At 53.7% G+C, this 16,641-nt stretch overlaps 1 protein-coding gene across 2 annotated transcripts in view, besides 8 other annotated features; it reads left to right on the top strand.

Annotated features, from left to right (window-relative positions):
- Positions 1-16,641, top strand: part of GNG7 (G protein subunit gamma 7) — a 191,476-nt gene that overhangs the window by 83,883 nt on the left and 90,952 nt on the right. The window lies entirely within an intron of this gene.
- Positions 7,759-7,838: a silencer, noted in NCBI's record as "silent region_9803". NCBI's record gives its function as "represses an Ori minimal core promoter by ATAC-STARR-seq in GM12878 lymphoblastoid cells {active_cell/tissue: GM12878}" and the evidence as "EXISTENCE:reporter gene assay evidence [ECO:0000049][PMID:35858748]".
- Positions 9,171-9,310: an enhancer, noted in NCBI's record as "active region_13707". NCBI's record gives its function as "activates an Ori minimal core promoter by ATAC-STARR-seq in GM12878 lymphoblastoid cells {active_cell/tissue: GM12878}" and the evidence as "EXISTENCE:reporter gene assay evidence [ECO:0000049][PMID:35858748]".
- Positions 9,787-10,640: an enhancer, noted in NCBI's record as "H3K4me1 hESC enhancer chr19:2608170-2609023 (GRCh37/hg19 assembly coordinates)". NCBI's record gives its function as "activates a minimal SCP1, AML or CMV promoter by ChIP-STARR-seq in primed H9 embryonic stem cells {active_cell/tissue: H9 hESC(primed)}" and the evidence as "EXISTENCE:reporter gene assay evidence [ECO:0000049][PMID:30033119]".
- Positions 9,787-11,495: a biological region, named in NCBI's record as "H3K4me1 hESC enhancers GRCh37_chr19:2607315-2608169 and GRCh37_chr19:2608170-2609023".
- Positions 9,821-9,960: an enhancer, noted in NCBI's record as "active region_13706". NCBI's record gives its function as "activates an Ori minimal core promoter by ATAC-STARR-seq in GM12878 lymphoblastoid cells {active_cell/tissue: GM12878}" and the evidence as "EXISTENCE:reporter gene assay evidence [ECO:0000049][PMID:35858748]".
- Positions 10,201-10,770: an enhancer, noted in NCBI's record as "active region_13705". NCBI's record gives its function as "activates an Ori minimal core promoter by ATAC-STARR-seq in GM12878 lymphoblastoid cells {active_cell/tissue: GM12878}" and the evidence as "EXISTENCE:reporter gene assay evidence [ECO:0000049][PMID:35858748]".
- Positions 10,641-11,495: an enhancer, noted in NCBI's record as "H3K4me1 hESC enhancer chr19:2607315-2608169 (GRCh37/hg19 assembly coordinates)". NCBI's record gives its function as "activates a minimal SCP1, AML or CMV promoter by ChIP-STARR-seq in naive H9 embryonic stem cells {active_cell/tissue: H9 hESC(naive)}" and the evidence as "EXISTENCE:reporter gene assay evidence [ECO:0000049][PMID:30033119]".
- Positions 14,755-15,521: an enhancer, noted in NCBI's record as "H3K27ac-H3K4me1 hESC enhancer chr19:2603289-2604055 (GRCh37/hg19 assembly coordinates)". NCBI's record gives its function as "activates a minimal SCP1, AML or CMV promoter by ChIP-STARR-seq in naive H9 embryonic stem cells {active_cell/tissue: H9 hESC(naive)}" and the evidence as "EXISTENCE:reporter gene assay evidence [ECO:0000049][PMID:30033119]".

Below are 16,641 nucleotides of genomic sequence, written 5' to 3'. Positions count from 1 at the left end.
AAGGTGCCAGCGTTCCCCAGCTGTGAGCAATGCCCTGTGGTTACACAGGGTGGCCCCTGAAGAGGAAGCTGGTGAGGCGTGGGCGGGGACTCTCTCTTTGCAACTTTCCTGTAAATCTAAAATTACTCCAAATAAAATTGTTTATTAAAAAAAAAATAGAACAGGCTGGGCACGGTGGCTCACGTCTGTAATCCCAGCACTTTGGGAGGCCGAGGCGGGTGGATCATTTGAGGTCAGGAGTTCGAGACCAGCCTGGACAACATGGCGAAACCCCGTCTCCACTGAAAATACAAAAATTAGGTGGGTGTGGTGGCACGTGCCTGTAATCCCAGCTACTTGGGAGGCTGAGGCAGGAGAATCGCTTGAACAGGGGAGGTGCAGGTTGCAGTGAGCTGAGGTTGCACCACTGCACTCCAGCCTGGGCAACAGAGTGAGATACACACACACACACACACACACACACACACACCACACACATACAGGTAGAAAAGAGAAAAATGTGGCTGAGAGCTTTGCAAGGGGCATGGGTGAGGAGTAATCTGTGTCCTCAGTGCCCTGGGGTTGGCAGGGATTTGGGCAAGATGGAGAAGCTGGTGAGTGGAAGAGTAGATGGAAGGCCAACCCGTCGGTCAGTCGCAAATATTGACCCGACACTCACTGTGTGCCAGGGACAGCCTAGGTGCTGGGGGCCCAGCCTGATACAGGTGGAATCAAGTCCTGTTCTCAGGGAGCATGTGTCACACAGAGACAGCACATGCCCAGACACACTGGCAAACCAAACAGAGGGTCTTAGAAGATAAGGAAATAGTCACGCCTGTAATCTCAGCGCTTTGGGAGGCCGAGGTGGGAGGATCACTTGAGGCCAGGAGTTTGAGACCAGCCTGGGCAACATAGCAGGACCGTATCTCTACAAAACATTTAAAAAATTAGCCGGGCATGGTGGTGCACACCTGTAGTTCCAGCTGCTCTGGAGGCTGAGGTAGGAGGATCACTTGAGCCCAGGAGGCTGAGGTTGCGGTGAGCTGTGACTGCACCACTGCACTCCAGCCTGGGCAACAGAGCAAGACCCTATCTCAAAAAAAAAAAAAATAAAAAGGAAAAGACAAAATAGGATGAGGTGGCACCAAGAGGAGAGAGTCTGTGCCACGTGGTGTCCAGGAAGGTCTCTAAGGAGGGGACATCCTTGCCAACCCCTGCAGGATGGGGAGGAGCATTGAAGGCAGGAGGAAGGACATTCCGGAGGGCTCCCTGGAAGCGGAGGTCTGGGAGCCACGGGAGGGGACCCAGGCCAGGTCTTTGAGGGCTGGAGGTGGAGAGGAGGATGGGGAGAAGAACAGTCTGAAGCATCATGGCAGAATGTCCTTGGTCTGAGGTGACCTAGTGTGGCTTCTTGATCAGATTGATGGGGTCCTCAGAGCTCACAGCCCAAGGCAGGGTCAGAGCTGCAGGGCTGGGCCGGGCTCAGTGCCTGGATGGCTGGTGAGCTCTGCCTCCCTGAAAGATCCAGTTTCTGGTCCAGGCCAGCGGTTCTTAAGTGGGACAGGTTTGCCTCCAGGGGACTCTGGGTGATATCTGGGGACATCTGTGGTTGTCACGACTGGAGATGCTCCTGGCATGGAGTGGGTGGGGGTCAGGGACGCCACTCAGCACCCTGCAGTGCACCAGGATGGCCCCATCCCAGAGAATGATCCAGCCCTGAACGTCAGAGACTTTGGGTTAACGGAATGTAATTAGGCTGAAATAAGCTAAAGTTTTTCCGATAGTCACGTGCTGGGCAGCACACTGGTGGAAGGCTGGTGCAAAGCTTTCATGCCAGAACCTTCTGATTCCAAGACACTTTCATTCACAGTCACCTGCATGACCAGGGAGGCGGAGCTGCACTTATCCCGTGACCCCAGATGAGGAAACAGTCAGAGGAAGAGGCGGGCAGAACCCGGGCCCCACTGCTCTTGGCAGCTCTTGGAAACATCCTCCCCTAGGGCCCTGGTCACCAGCCTTGCCCAAGAACCCACCAGCTATATTTGTCTGGTTTTTTTTTTTGAGATGGGGTTTTGCTCAGGCTGGAGTGCGATGGCGTGATCTCGGCTCACTGCAACCTGCAACCTCTGCCTCCCGGGTTCAAGCAATTCTGCCTCAGCCTCCTGAGTAGCTGGGATTACAGGCACCCGCCACCATGCCCGGCTAATTTTGTATTTTTAGGAGAGACGGGGTTTCTCCCTGTTGGTCAGGCTGGTCTCAAACTCCTGACCTGAGGTGATCCGCTCGCTTTGGCCTCCCAAAGTGCTGGGATTATAGGCATGAGCCACCACACCCAGCCTTTCTTTGTTTGTTTTTTAATAGAGATGGAGTCTCTAGCCTGGCTAACATGACAAAACCTCATCTCTACTAAAAATACAAAAATTAGCTGGGCACGGTGGCACACGCCTGTAATCCCAGCTACTCGGGAGGCTGAGGCAGGAGAATCGCTGGAACACGGGAGGCAGAGGTTGCAATGAGTCGAGATCGTGCCATTGCACTCCAGCCTGGGCAGCAGAGCGAGACTCCGGCTCAAAATAATAATAATAAATTAGAGATGGGGTCTCACTATTTTGCCCAGGCTGGTTTTGAACTCCTGAGCTCAAGGGATCCTCTCGCCTCAGCCTCCCAAAGCACTGGGATCACAGGTGTGAGGTGCCATGCCTGGCCCACACCAGCTGTGTTTAATCAATGCTGGGCAGCCCTGCAGCTTGGTGACATCAGTGGGCCACTGGCTACTGGGTGTTTTTTCCATCCTGCCCTGTTCCCTGCTGGCACCAGGGGAAAAAGGCCCATACAGGAGTCTGTTCCAGGTCACCAGATCCTGGGGTGGCCCGTAAGGATTTGAAGGGGACAGGAGGCGCCCCTTTGCCGAGGCCCTTCACTGTGTCAGGCACATTGCTGGCTGCCGTGGGTGCACAATCTTAGGGAACCCTCCTGCCTCCTCCGCCTTGCTGCTTCCTTGCAAAGAAAATTTCCCACTGCAGAGGGCAGCTTAATTGCTCAGCAGTGGCTCTTCAGAATCTCACAGATGGGCCAGGCGTGGTGGCTCATGCCTGTAATCCCAGCACTTTGGGAGGCCGAGGCGGGCAGATCATGAGGTCAGGACATCGAGACCATCCTGGCTAACATGGTGAAACCCCATGTCTACTAAAAATACAAAAAAATTAGCCAGGCGTGGTGGTGGGTGCCTGTAGTTCCAGCTACTCTGGAGGCTGAGGCAGGAGGATCACTTGAGCCCAGGAGGCTGAGGTTGCAGTGAGCTGTGACTGCACCACTGCACTCCAGCCTGGGCAACAGAGCAAGACCCTATCTCAAAAAAAAAAAAAAAAAAAAAAAAAACCGGAAAAGACAAAGAAAATAGGATGAGGTGGCACCAAGAGGACAGAGTCTGTGCCACGTGGTGTCCAGGAAGGTCTCTAAGGAGAGGACATCCTTGCCGACCCCTGCAGGATGGGGAGGAGCATTGAAGGCAGGAGGAAGGACATTCTGGAGGGCTCCCTGGAGGCGGAGGTCTGGGGGAGCCTGAATGGTGGGAACCTGGGAGGTGGAGTTTGCAGTGAGCCGAGATCGCGCCACTGCACTCCAGCCTGGGCGACAGAGCGAGACTCCGTCTCAAAAAAAAAAAAAAGAGTGTCACAGATGGCACCTTCAGACCAGACAGTGGCCGCCCAGTACCCCGAAAGTGGCCTAGAAAGCGGGGCTATTCCACACACCTTGCCCAGCCCAGCACTGAAGCCAGGGAAGGAGGGCTTGGGCAGGAGCCGCGGCACAAATCACAGCTGCAAGTTCTGGCTCTGCCAATGGCTACGGGGTGACCTTCAACAATCAGCTGCCTGCCTCCTGCCTCAGTGCCTTGTTTAAAAGCTGAGGAACGCCTTGGCATTGAGAATTGATGTGTGATGCAAGATGGGGCAGCCGCCTTGGAAACCAGTCTGGTGGTTCCTCAAAAGGCTGAACGCGGAGTCGCCACATGACCCAGCAATTCCGCTCCTAGTTATCTGCCCAGAGGAATTGGAAGCAGGTGTTCAAATAGAACCTTGCCACAAATGTTCATACAGTACGATTCACAATGGCTAAAAGGTGGAAATGACCCAAGTGTCCGTCCGTGGGTAAATAGATAAACAGCGTGGCCCTCCACACACTGGAACGAGACTCAGCCGTGAACGAGACTCTGACCCAGGCCACGTGCAGCCTGGATGCCCCTTGAGGATGTCACACTCAGTGAGAGATGCCAGATCCAAAAGGCCACACAGTGTGTCATCCTATTTCTATGAAATGTCCAGGACAGGCCAGTCTAGAGAGGCAGGAAGGGGATGTGTGGGTGCCAGGGGCTGGGGAGGGGGATGGGAAGTGACAGCTGATAGGGATGGGGTGTCTTTTTGGGGGGCTGAGAATGTTCTAGAGCTAGCTAGAGATGATGGCTGCACGAATGCCACTGGATGTCTGGAAAGGGAGCTTTTTTGTTGTGTGCATTTCACCACACATGTGCCTGAGACCCGACGTGCAGGGCCCCCCTGCGGGTACACAGAGGGCAGGGAGAGGGTGCTAGGGAAAGTCGCCGCACCTGCTTTCTGGCGACCATGCTCAGGCTGTAGCTGGGGGAACTCTCTTCCCGCCCTCCTGGGACCTCTCGAGCCTCTTGAGTCTGCTCCCAGTGCCGTTCACCGGGTGGTGAGGATGTGGTCTCGCAACAGACGCCTGCAACGGACCCACCTGTGCGAGGCTGGCCCCCTTTACCCCGGGGGTAGGCGCGGGGCCCGAGTTCCCTGGGTGGATTCTGCATTGCACTTGCCGGCCTTTAGATGTCGCTGTGGCCGTGGCCTTCGCTGGCCTTAGGCTGCGAGCTTCTGTCTGATTCGCACCTTTCTCATTCAGGATCCACACACTGCTGCAGTCCGAGTTTCTTGGCATAGCCAGGGTCCCTTGATCTTCCCCCTCACCAATTAATTAAATCAGGATCTCTCCTGCTAGGTACTGTGGACATCTGGGGCTAGATCCTCTGGGGTCTGGCCATCCTGGGCACTGCAGGGTGCTGAGTGGCGTCCTGGCCTCCACCCACTCCATGCCGGGAGCACCTCCAGGCATGACAACCACAAATGTCCCCAGACATTGCCCAGTGTCCCCTGGGGGCAGGATCACCCCTGATTGAGACCCCCCGCCCAGGTTAGGGGAATCCACAGATTCCCCAAGAGACTCTGCATTCCGTGACCATCTCTCCTACTGAGGTCCCAGGAGGCTGCACACATTGAAATCCACACCCTGAGTGGGGAGGGAGAGAGGAGGAAGAGTCCCAGGAGCTGGGGGTCCCCCTGGTTTATGCCATCTGCCCCGTCGGGAGTTTATTCTTGTATCTACTGTGAGCAGGAGCGGGGACAGATTGCATTCTCCCCAAATAATTAATGCAGGATCTCCCCCTCTCCAGGTAGTGTAGACACCTGCTCTTCCAATGAGGCAGTGGCTTGAGACAATGGACTTTAGATGAGGGGCTGAGAGCCCAAAGCCCCCCTATGTGTTAATTCAACACCTAATTCAACGTATAGTTCAAGCAAACTCACCTAATTCAACGTAGGTGCTAATTCAGCAAGAGACTGTGCAGCCTGTAGCAGGAAGTAGGCTGCAGCCACCAGCCGGGTTAAACTTGCATCAGAAATTCTTTGTCTGAATTCCTTTTCCACGTCCCTTAAACACCATCCCTTTCCCTGGCTGGTTCTACCTGGCTGCAGGGCCATGTTGGGACACTCAGGGCCTGGGGCACATTTGCCCTCCTAGGCTACCTCCTCCGCTCTAAAAATGTCCGACGTTGGCCAGGCACCGTTGTTCACATCTGTAATCTCAACACTTTGGGAGGCCGAGGCGGACGGATCACCTGAGGTCAGGAGTTCGAGACCATCCTGGCCAACATGGTGAAAACCCGTCTCTACTAAAAATACAAAATTAGCCGGGTGTGGTGGTGGGTACCTGTAGTCCCAGCTACCCAGGAGGCTCAGGCAGGAGAATTGCTTGAACTGGGAGGTGGAAGTTGCAGCGAGCCGAGATCGCACCGCTGCCTGGGCGACACAGCAAGACTCTCAAAAAAAAAAAAAAAATTTCTCAAAAAAAAAAAAAAATTCTAAGCTGTATTTTACAATTGTCTTGGCATAAAGACAAACAGAATCCAGGCTGGATTCATGATTATACACTCACAAGTATTTTATTCATCTTTTGTCGACTGGATTTTAAAACATTTCCAGGAACCCTGGACCTGGGGCTTTTGTGCCGTGGGAGCCTGGGTCCTGCCTGGGGGGGGTCCTGGCTTCAGTCTTCTCACTGAGGCCCCTCCCCTCTCCCAGGCTGGGTCACCCCGATATGAAATGCCCAGGTCCCAGACACACCTTCTTTGCAGGCTGCTACCCTGGAACTGTTTTTAAATGTGGGTGATGCTGCCCCCCAGGGGGCACTGGGCGATGTTTGGGGACGTGTGGTTATCACAACTGGGATGCTCCTGGCATGGAGTGGGCGGAGGTCAGAGATGCTGCTGAGCACCCTGCAGTGCCCAGGATGGCCCCACCCCAGAGAAGGATGGGGCCCCAGGGGAGACCGTAGACCAAAGTCAATCCAATTATTAAAAAGAAAGAAAGATTTGGCCGGGCGCGCTGGCTCACACCTGTAGTCCCAGCACTTTGGGAGGCCAGGGTAGGCGGATCACGAGGTTGAGAGATCGAGACCATCCTGGCCAACATGGTGAAACCCGGTCTCTACTAAAAATACTAAAATTAGCTGGGCGTGGTGGCGGGTGCCTGTAGTTCCAGCTACTTGGGGAGGCTGAAGCAGGAGAATCGCTTAAACTCGGGAGGCGGAGGTTGCAGTGAGCTGAGATCACACTACTGCACTTCAGCCTGGTGACAGAGCGAGACTCCATCTCAAAAAAAAAAAAGATTTTTATTTTTATTTACTTTTACTTTTACTTTTTATTTTTTTAGAGACAGAATCTCCCTCTGTCGCCCAGGCTGGAGAGCAGTGGCGCGATCAACGCTCAGTGCAGCCTCCACCTCCCCGGTTCGAGCGATTCTCCTGCCTCGGTCTCCTGAGTAGATGGGATTACAGGCGCCCGCCAGCATGCCCGGCTAATTTTTAATTTTTTGTAGAGACCTGGTGTTGCTCTCTTGGCCAGGCTGGTCTCGACCTTCTGAGCCCAAGTTATCCTCCCACCTTGGCCTCTCCAAGTGCTGGGATTACAGGCGTGAGCCATTGCACCCGGCCTAAGAGATATTTTTAAATGGTATTATCAAATAAATCATTAAATAGATTCGGGCTATGCACCGTCTTGCCCACCTGCCTTCAAGCCCCACGCAGGACGGGACCCCCTCCTGCCACGGTCCTGGGACGGGGCACCTCGAGCTCACTCAGTGGTGACAGCGAGGCCGCCTGTCGGGCCATGACCAGCAGGTGGCAGCACAGACCAGCTCCCGGGAGACCTGTCCTGGCTCCAGCTCCCAGCGTCCCAGAAACACCGCAGTCTAGACGCTCGCCAGGCGGAATTCCTCGCCCCTGAAGTCAGTCTGCGTGTAGACATTCGCGATACCAGCTCCCAGTCATCATTTCCCACTCTGCGTCTCCCAGGCTGTCTCGCCAGGGCCCTGGATCCCTGGGCTGAGCGGCTTAGTAAGGGTCGGGGTGGCGGGGAACCCTGGGCGCCGCACCCGGTGCGAGGGGCCCACTTCCCAGAAAGCAGATTGCGAGAGGGAAGCCATCCAAGGCCGGTGCCGGGCGTGGTCCTTTCTGAGAATGTTGAGGACGCTTCCCCCCCCCCGAGCCTGGCACGTGAGCCCGTTCCCCCCCTCCCACCCGCCCCCTCGTCCCCACCGCCTGATAGGAACTGAAAGTGTCAAGTTTAGTGCCCAGGAGACAGGTGTCTGCACGCTCAGGCCGACTGAAACCAAACCTGGCCTGGGAGAAACGTATCCCAGGGGCCACCTGGGTCCCTGAGGCCGCTTTGGTTCAAACCTCTTCTGAAACCTGTCAGCATCTTGCAACAATAAAAGAGGGTCTCTTGTGCCTGCAATCCCAGCACTTTGGGAGGCTGAGGCGGGAGGATCGCTTAAGCCCAGGAGTTTGAGACCAGCCTGGACAAGACAGCAAGACCCCGTCTCTACTAAAAAATAAAAAAATTAGTGGCCGGGCGTGATAGCTCATGCCTGTAATCCCACCACTTTGCGAGGCGGGTGGATCACCTGAGGTCAGGAGTTTGAGATCAGCCTGGCCAACATGGTGAAACCCCGTCTCTACTGAAAACACAAAAATTAGCTGAGCGTGGTGGCAGTTGCCTGTAATCCCAGCTACTCAGGAGGCTGAGGCAGGAGAATCGCTTGAACCCAGGAGGCAGAGGTTGCAATGACCCAGGATCACACCACTACACTCCAGCCTGGGCGACAGAGCAAGACTCTGTCTTAAAAAAGTAATAATAAATAAATAAAAATTAAAAAAAAAAAAGCCAGGTGTGGCAGTGCACACCTATAGTCCAAGCTGCTCGGGAGGCTGAGGCAGGAGTATTGCTTGAGTCCAGGAGGCTGAGGCTGCAGTGAGCCATGATTGCACCACTGCACTCCAGTCTGGGCGACAGGGTGAGACCCTGTCTCCAAAAAAAATAAAAAATTAATAATAATAATAAATAAAGAAGGTCTTTGTCATGTTATCCGAGGCCACCTGAGCTGTCCCCTGGGGCAAGGCCCTTGCCAGAGGCTTCCCCGTGCTGTCATCATCTTGACCCGGTGATACTAACCTCTGAGAGTTTAGGGGAGGGAGGGGGCCCTCTACTTTTGGGAGCACTGGGTGGGGAGCCTGGCAGGTGCTCGGTGGTAGTGACGGACCTTGGCCGTTTAAGGTGCACGCTCTCCTGCTTTTCCTGTACCGTTCAATTTCCTCACTCGTGGTCAGGGAGCTCCAGAAGTGCACTGAGTTCACTGGCTCACCGAGGGTCCCCCAATGGCCCAGAGGCACCCCCAGGTCCCACTGGATTGTCCTACGGTGGCCAGTCTGCAGCTGTGAGCTCTGGGGACCAGTTCCTTTAACCCAGCGTGATGGTTTGCTGGGGCTCTGTAACCTCAAGCCACAGACTGGAGGAGGGCTTTAGCAACAGAGATTTCTTCTCTCTCTTGGTTCTGGAGGCTGGAAGTCCAAGACGGTAACAGGTGGGACCCTGTCTGCTCTGGCACTCGGGACGTGGTGCGCAAACATCACTGCAATCCACCCAGCTGTCCTGCACAACGGGATTCCAGCAATGGCCAAAATAAGGCTCACGGAAGAGAGCCTGAGGTCCTCCAGCAAGTGAGCGGCTAAACTGCAGTTGTTACCCGGACCTGTCGGCTCCCAAATCCCAGGGCAGGACCAGGGTCAGGCAAGCAATGTATTCACACTGGGCACAAAATTGAAGGGGGCGCTAAAAAACCTCAGCGACCAAGATGAAATAACACTTTAGTGTAAAACAAAAATTAGCTGGGTGGGGTGGTACGTGCCTGTAGTCCCAGCTCCACAGGACACTGAGGTGGGAGGATCATGAGGCTAGGAGTTCAAGACCAGCCTTGGCAACATAGTGAGACCCCCATCTCTACGAAAAATTAAAAATTAGCCAGGTGTGGTGGTGCATGCCTGTAATCCCAGCTACTCGGGAGGCTAAGGCAGGAGGATTGCTTGAACCTGAGAGGCAGAGGTTGCGGTGAGCCAAGATCGCACCACTGCACTCCAGCCTGGAAGATGGAGTGAGACCCTGTCTCAAAACAAAAAAAGAGAGAGAGAGAGAGAGAGAGAATGTACAAGAACTAGGTAGGCATGATGTTTGTACAACGTTGTGAATGTGTTGAATGCCACTGAATTGTTCACTTTAAAATGCTTAATTTTACATTATGCAAACCTTACCTCAGTTTCTTTAAAAAGCGGGTCAGAAGGTGGCTTTGGAGAAGGCACACTGATTTTGGCTGTGGTTGCAGGCCTGCAGGGGTCTGATGAGGCCCTCAGTGCCAGCAGACAGGGTTACCTGGAGTGGGGAACGCAGCAGGCCCCCTGACAGCCTCAGTGCAGACCCCGGGAGAGTGTGTCCTCCGTGTCTGCCCCATGCAGGGAAGGCCTTTGAGACTCTGCCATCTGCATCCCCTGCTGCAGAGAGAGGGGGTTGCCCGGGAGGCACCCGGCCCCTTGCCCTGGGGTGTCCGGTGGCAGCCAGGGGAGCTCCTCCAGGTTTCCAGGTTGCTGGTCTCGTGACTCTGCAGATGACTCGAGAGGCACAGGTGTGCCTGCATCTGGGGACACGTGAGCCTGCTGCCCGTCCCTGGATTACTGACCTGCGTCATTTGGGGGTGCAGGGGAGCTGCACCGAGGCCGTCAGTGTGCCTGCTGGGGCGCCCACCTCCAGAGACGATCTCTGTCCTCCCGTGTGTGTGAAGAGCCCGTCCCTCCAGCCCGCAGGCCTTGCCTTGCAGGGGCTTCGGGGACTTTTTTTTTTTTTCCCAGGGGCAAATCCCACGTGGGCGGAACCTCTCCGCAGCAGGTATTACTCTTGCGTTTCGGTCTTTCTGCTCCTCAGACATCCCCGCTCTTTTCCTCCACCCACGCTTCGCCACCTGTGAATCGTTCTGACTTTTAGGTGTGAAACCGACGTGCCACGCTCTGTGTCATGAGTGGCAGGGCGGCGACCTCAGCCTAACCTTTATTTATTTTTTTTTTCCTCCACCTTCCCACTGACTTGGCTTAACCTTTTTTTTTTTTTTTTTCTCAAATACCATCTGATCTTCTGATCTCCCTCAAAGAGCTGCGTCTCAGGTCGCAGGTGAACTTTCTGGATGGTGTGGTCTGCGTGCGTGTGTGCGTCTGGCTGCCTGCCAGGAGGGAACCGCTGTTGCTGCCCTGTGTCGCTGTCGCCTGAACGTATTGCTGTCCTGGGGGGACTGCTCCCTAGAAAGCCTCCGTGCCGTGTCGTTGGTGAGCGCCGGTCTGTGCTGACACTGCAGGCTACTTCCCAGTGCCCACGATGACAGCTCTGCCTCTGAAGTGAGAAGCGGAGACGCCACTGGGAGGGGCGGGGGGCGGAGGGCACGGGGTTCAAGTGCCAGGCTGAGCCTACATGGGAGGTACTTGCAGACTGGCCCCAAGTGGGTTTTATGTGTTGTTAAAATACATAACAATGTAGTTTAGCTTGCCCCATCCTAATATGTATTTCTTTTTCTTTTTTCTTTTCTTTCTTTCTTTTTTTTTTTTTTTTTACCATTTTAGTCTTTCTTTTTTTTTTTCTTTTTGAGATGGAGTTTCACTCTTGTCGCCCAGGCTGGAGTGCAATGGTGCGATCTCGGCTCACTGCAACCTCTGCCTCCCAGGTTCAAGCAATTCTCCTGCCTCAGCCTCCCAAGTAGCTGGGATAACAGGCGCCTGCCATCATGCTCGGCTAATTTTTTGAATTTTTAGTAGAAACTAAAAATGTTAGGGTTTCTCCATGTTGGCCAGGCTGGTCTTGAACTCCCGACCTCAGATGATCTGCCTGCCTCGACCTCCCAAAGTGCTGGGATTACAGGTGTGAGCCACCACACCTGGCCTTCTTTTTTTTTTTTGACACAGGGTCTTGCTCTGTCGCCCAGGCTGGAGTGCAGTGGTGCGATCACAGCTCACTGCAGCCTCAACCTCCTGGGCTCAAGTGATCCTCCCACCTCAGCCTCTTGAGTAGCTGGGACTACAGACACACACCACCATGCCCAGCTAATTTTTAAATTTTTCGTGGAGACAGGGTCTCGCTGTGTTGCCCAGGCTGGTCTCAAAATCCTGGGCTCAAATGATCCCCCCGCCTCGGCCTCCTGAGGTGCTGGGATTACAGGCATGAGCCACGGTGCCCGGCCCTTGTTTACTGTTCAAAAGTTTGCAACTCCATGGCATTATTTCCATGAACACTGCGTGCAAACACCAGCACTATCTATCTAGTTCCAGAAACTTGTCATCACCGAGAATGGGAACCTTCTCAGTTTAGTTTTGGAATGTTCCAAAGAGACTGCACCATCCGAGCATGTTATTGGTCTTCCTTGCCTTGGCTGCCTTCTCTCATCCTGACTTTTTATTTTTGAGACAGGGTCTAACTTTTTTTTTAAATTAATTAATTAATTAATTAATTAATTATTTTTTTTTGAGACAGAGTTTCACTCTTGTTGCCCAGGCTGGAGTGCAGTGGCACAATCTTGGCTCACCGCAACCTCCACCTCCCGGGTTCAAGCGATTCTGCTGCCTCAGCCTCCTGAATAGCTGGGATTACAGGCGTGCACCACCACACCCAGCTAATTTTTGTATTTTTAGTAGAGATGGGGTTTCTCCATGTTGGTCAGGCTGGTCTCGAACTCCTGACCTCAGGTGATCTGCCCACCTCAGTTTCCCAAAGTGCTGGGATTACAGGCATGAGCCACTGCACCTGGCCAGAAACAGAGTCTAACTTTGTCACGCAGGTTGGAGTGCAGTGGTGCAATCTCGGCTCACTGTAGCCTCCAACTCCTGGGCTCAAGTGATCCTCCCACCTCAGCCCCCCAAGGACTACAGGTGCACACCACCACGCCCAGCTAATTTTTGTATTTTTTGTAGAGATGGGATCTCACTATGTTGCCCAGGCTGGTCTCAAACTCCTGGGCTCAAGCAATCCACCCACCTCGGCCTCCCACAGTGCTGGGATTACGGGCGTGAGCCACCCAGCCTCTTCCTGACTCTTAAAAGCGGCTTGCTTGCTTGGAAGCTTGCCCGACTGCGGGGCATGGAGGCATTTCCTGTGAGCATCTATGTTTGCCCTGAAAAGAGACTTTGTATGTCGTGTGAGTAATGCCCCCAAAGATATTGGCTCCTAAATGTCTGGAACCTGTGAATTTTCCCTTATAGGACAAAGAGGTCGCAGAAGTGATCACATGAAGGATCTTCAGACGGCAGATTATCCTGGGTTCTCCAGGTGGACCCTAAACAATTACAAATGTCCTTATAAGAGTGAGATTTTGGCAGGCTGCGGTGGCTCACACCTGTCATCCCAGCACTTTGGGAGGCCAAGGCGGGCAGATCACGAGGTCAGGAGATCGAGACCATGCTGGCCAACATGGTGAAACCCCGTCTCTACTAAAAATACAAAAATTAGCTGGGTGTGGTGGCGCATGCCTGTAATCCCAGCTACTCGGGAGGCTGAGGCAGGAGAATCACTTCAGCTGAGGAGGCAGAGGTTGCAGTAAGCCAAGATCAAGCCACTGCACTCCAGCCTGGGCAACAAAGCAAGACTCTGCCTCAAAAAAAAAAAAAAAAAAAAAAAAGTGAGATTTGGCCAGGTGTGGTGGCTCACACCTGTAATCCCAGCACTTTGGGAGGCTGAGGCAGGAGGATCACTTGAGGCCACAAGTTTGAGACCTGTTTGGCCAACATGGTGAAACCCCGTCTCTACTAATAATACAAAAATTAGCTGGGCATGGTGGCAGGTGCCTGTAGTCCCAGCTACTCAGGAGGCTGAGGCAGGAGAATCACTTGAACCCAGGAGGCGGAGGTTGCAGTGAGCCGAGATGGTGTCTGGTGCACTCCAACCTGGGCAACAGAGAGAGACCTTGTCTCAAAAAACAAACAAAAAAAACAACAGTGAGATTTGACACATGAGGAAAGGCATGGGGAGATGGAGGCAGAGACTGGAGCCATGTGGGCTCAAGCCAGAGGATGCCTGGAGGCCCCAGAAGCTGGAGGAGGCAGGAAGGATCCTCCCCTGGAGCCTCCAGAGGGAGCACGGCCTTGCCCACATCTAGATTTCTGACCTCCAGAGCCATAGAGAATCCATTTCCATTGTTTTAAGCCACCAGATCCGTGTGACTTGTTATAGCGGCTTCAAGCCACTCATACTGACAGCCAAAAGGACTTGGACTCCAACGACAGAATCTAGTTCATCCCAGGATTTCAGGTGGTTTCTTGGGCCTAATACTTCTAAGAGAGGGGAAGCCGCCACTGGATTGTTTCCTTCTCGCCACTGCCCTGCATCTCTGTCTGGGAAAAGCATTCAAACAAACCACACTTTGTTCTTGAACTTGGGGTGGTGTGAAAATCACATAATAGGGCAGAAAACTTTCTCTTTTCCCTCCCTCCCTCCCCACTCCCTCCCTTCCTTCCTTCCTTCCATTCATTCTTTTTTTTTTTTTTTTTGAAGGAGGGTCTTGCTCCGTTGCCCAGGCTGGAGTGTCTAGGGCAGAAAACTTTCTCTTTTTCCTCCCTCTGTCCCTCGCTTCCTTCCTTCCTTCCCTCCCTCGCTCCCTCCCTCCCTCCCTCCCTCGCTTCCTTCCTTCCTTCCTTTCATTCATTTTTTTTTTTTTTTGAAGCAGGGTCTTGCTCCGTTGCCCAGGCTGGAGTGCAGTGGCGCAGTCCTAGCTCACTGCAGCCTCGACTTCCTGGTTCAAGCCATCCTCCTGCTTCAGCCTCCAGAGTAGCTGGGACCACAAGCACACGCCACCACATCCGGCTAATTTATTTTTATTTTTTGTAGTGATGGGGTCTTGCTATGTTGCCCAGGCTGGTCTCAAACTCCTGGCCTCAAGCGATCCTCCTGCCTCGGCCTCCCAAAGTGCTGGGAGACGGGCATATTATGCTGCACCTGGCTAAGACCACTTTTCAGTGTGTTAAAACAGGCACTTCTCGAGACCCGGCACGGTGGCTCACGCCTGTAATCCTAGCACTTTGGGGGGCCGAGGCGGGTGGATCACGAGGTCAAGAGATCGATACCATCCTGGCTAACACAGTGAAACCCCGTCTCTACTAAAAATACAAAAAATTAGCGGGGCGTGGTGGCGGGCGCCTGTAGTCCCAGCTACTCAGGAGGCTGAGGCAGGAGAATGGCGTGAACCCAGGAGGCAGAGCTTGCAGTGAGCCGAGATTGCACCACTGCACTCCAGCCTGGGTGACAGAGCGAGACTCTGTCTCAAAAAATAAAATAATAATAATAATAATAAAAGAACAGGCACTTCTCCCTTAAACGCTTAGTTCCTCCTTCTGTAAAATAAATCTAGGTGACACAATCTCTGAAATCCTTTCCAGCTTGAACACGCTAGGAAAAACTGGGAGATCTATGAACAGTGAATAAAAATGAACTGAAATGATCCTCCTAGCTGCAGGGGCTTCTGATGCCTGCATTCTCCAGATGGTTGGTTTCCTAAATTTAGCCGCCGCCCCGCAAGGGTGAGCCCTGCATAGTTTTTGGTCGATCTCCAGTCCAGGCTGTGAATACACAGCCCTGATTTGCATTTCTGAACCCTCGGGGATGGCTGGATTCCTCGGGCTACTCTGCTTGGAATTTTCAGCCCCAGAGAGCCACCGCGGTCTCACCGGATGCCGGTCCCACCCGATGCGAGAAGCTCCGGGGGTTCCCCCTCATTCTGGCATCAGCTCCCTCTCTGCAGCCTGTGGAACAGAAAGAACACAGCTTTAGGCCGGGCACGGCGGCTCACGCCTGTAATCCTAGCACTTTGGGAGGCCGAGGCGGGTGGATCACGAGGTCAGGAGATCGAGATCACCCTGGCTAACACGGTGAAACCCCGTCTCTACTAAAAATACAAAAATTAGCCAGGCATGGTGGTGCGCACCTGTAATCCCAGCTACTCGGGAGGCTGAGGCAGGAGGATCGCTTGAACCCGGGAGGCGGAGGTTTCAGTGAGGCAAGACTGTGCTATTGTGCTCCAGCCTGGGCAACAAGAGCGAAACTCCATCAAAAAAAAGAACAGAACAGAACAGAAAAGAGAAAAAGAAAGAAAGAAAGGGAAGGAAGGAAGGGGAAAGGAAAGGGAGAAAGAAAAGAAAGGAAGGAAGGAAAGAGAGAGAGAAAGAAAGAAAGAGAAAGAAAAGAAAGAAAGGAAGAAAGGAAGAAACAAAAAGAAAGAAAGAAAGAAAGAAAGAAAAAGAGAAAAAGAAAGAGAAAGAGAGAAAAGGGTGGGTAGCGCATCTTTCCTTGCAGAGCCGCAGTGAGCCCCCTTCCAGCTGTGAACTATCAACCTGCCTATAAAAGGCAATTCTGATTGAAGGAAAAGGGAGGGGTGGTGGTGAGGGGAGGGCCGGGTGGCCCTCTGCCCAGCCCGAGATTGGCTTCCGTTTCTGGCTTGCTGTCCAGCGTATGGGATTGATTTAGATTCCCAGAACACCACGGAAGGTAGCACATGCTGTGACGATTGCGTAGTGGTTCGTGCTCCGGGGCCCGGTTGGAGATCCCTGCTGCCCGTCTGTCCGCCTGTGCGAGGCCACAGATCTGCCTGCATTTCCCTGCAGGCTCGGGAGGAGCTGGCAGAACCTGCTGCTTCTGCACAGCGCATTCCTGTCTGCTGGCAGCTCCTCCCCAGCGCCCTGAAGGGAGTGCTGGATCTGCTTAAAAGCGTGCAGGAGGGGGTGGGTACAGGGGAGCCAGGGCCTGCAGAGGACGCAGCCCGCAGCCCAGTCCTCAGTGCTGCTTTTTCTGTTGTTGTTTTGAGACGGAGTCTCGCTCTGTCGCCCAGGCTGGAGTGCAGTGGCGCGATCTCAGCTCACTGCAACCTCTGCCTCCCGGGTTCAAGCAATCCTCCTGTCTCAGCCTCCCAAGTAGCTGAGATTACAGGCGTGCACCACCACGCCCGGCTAATTTTTGCATTTTTAGTA

This window comes from Homo sapiens, chromosome 19 (genome assembly GCF_000001405.40).
Source record: "Homo sapiens chromosome 19, GRCh38.p14 Primary Assembly".
Classification (NCBI taxonomy): Eukaryota; Metazoa; Chordata; class Mammalia; order Primates; family Hominidae; genus Homo; species Homo sapiens.
The sequence above is the reverse complement of the archived record's forward strand: the minus strand, read 5'-3'. Positions and strand labels throughout refer to the sequence as shown.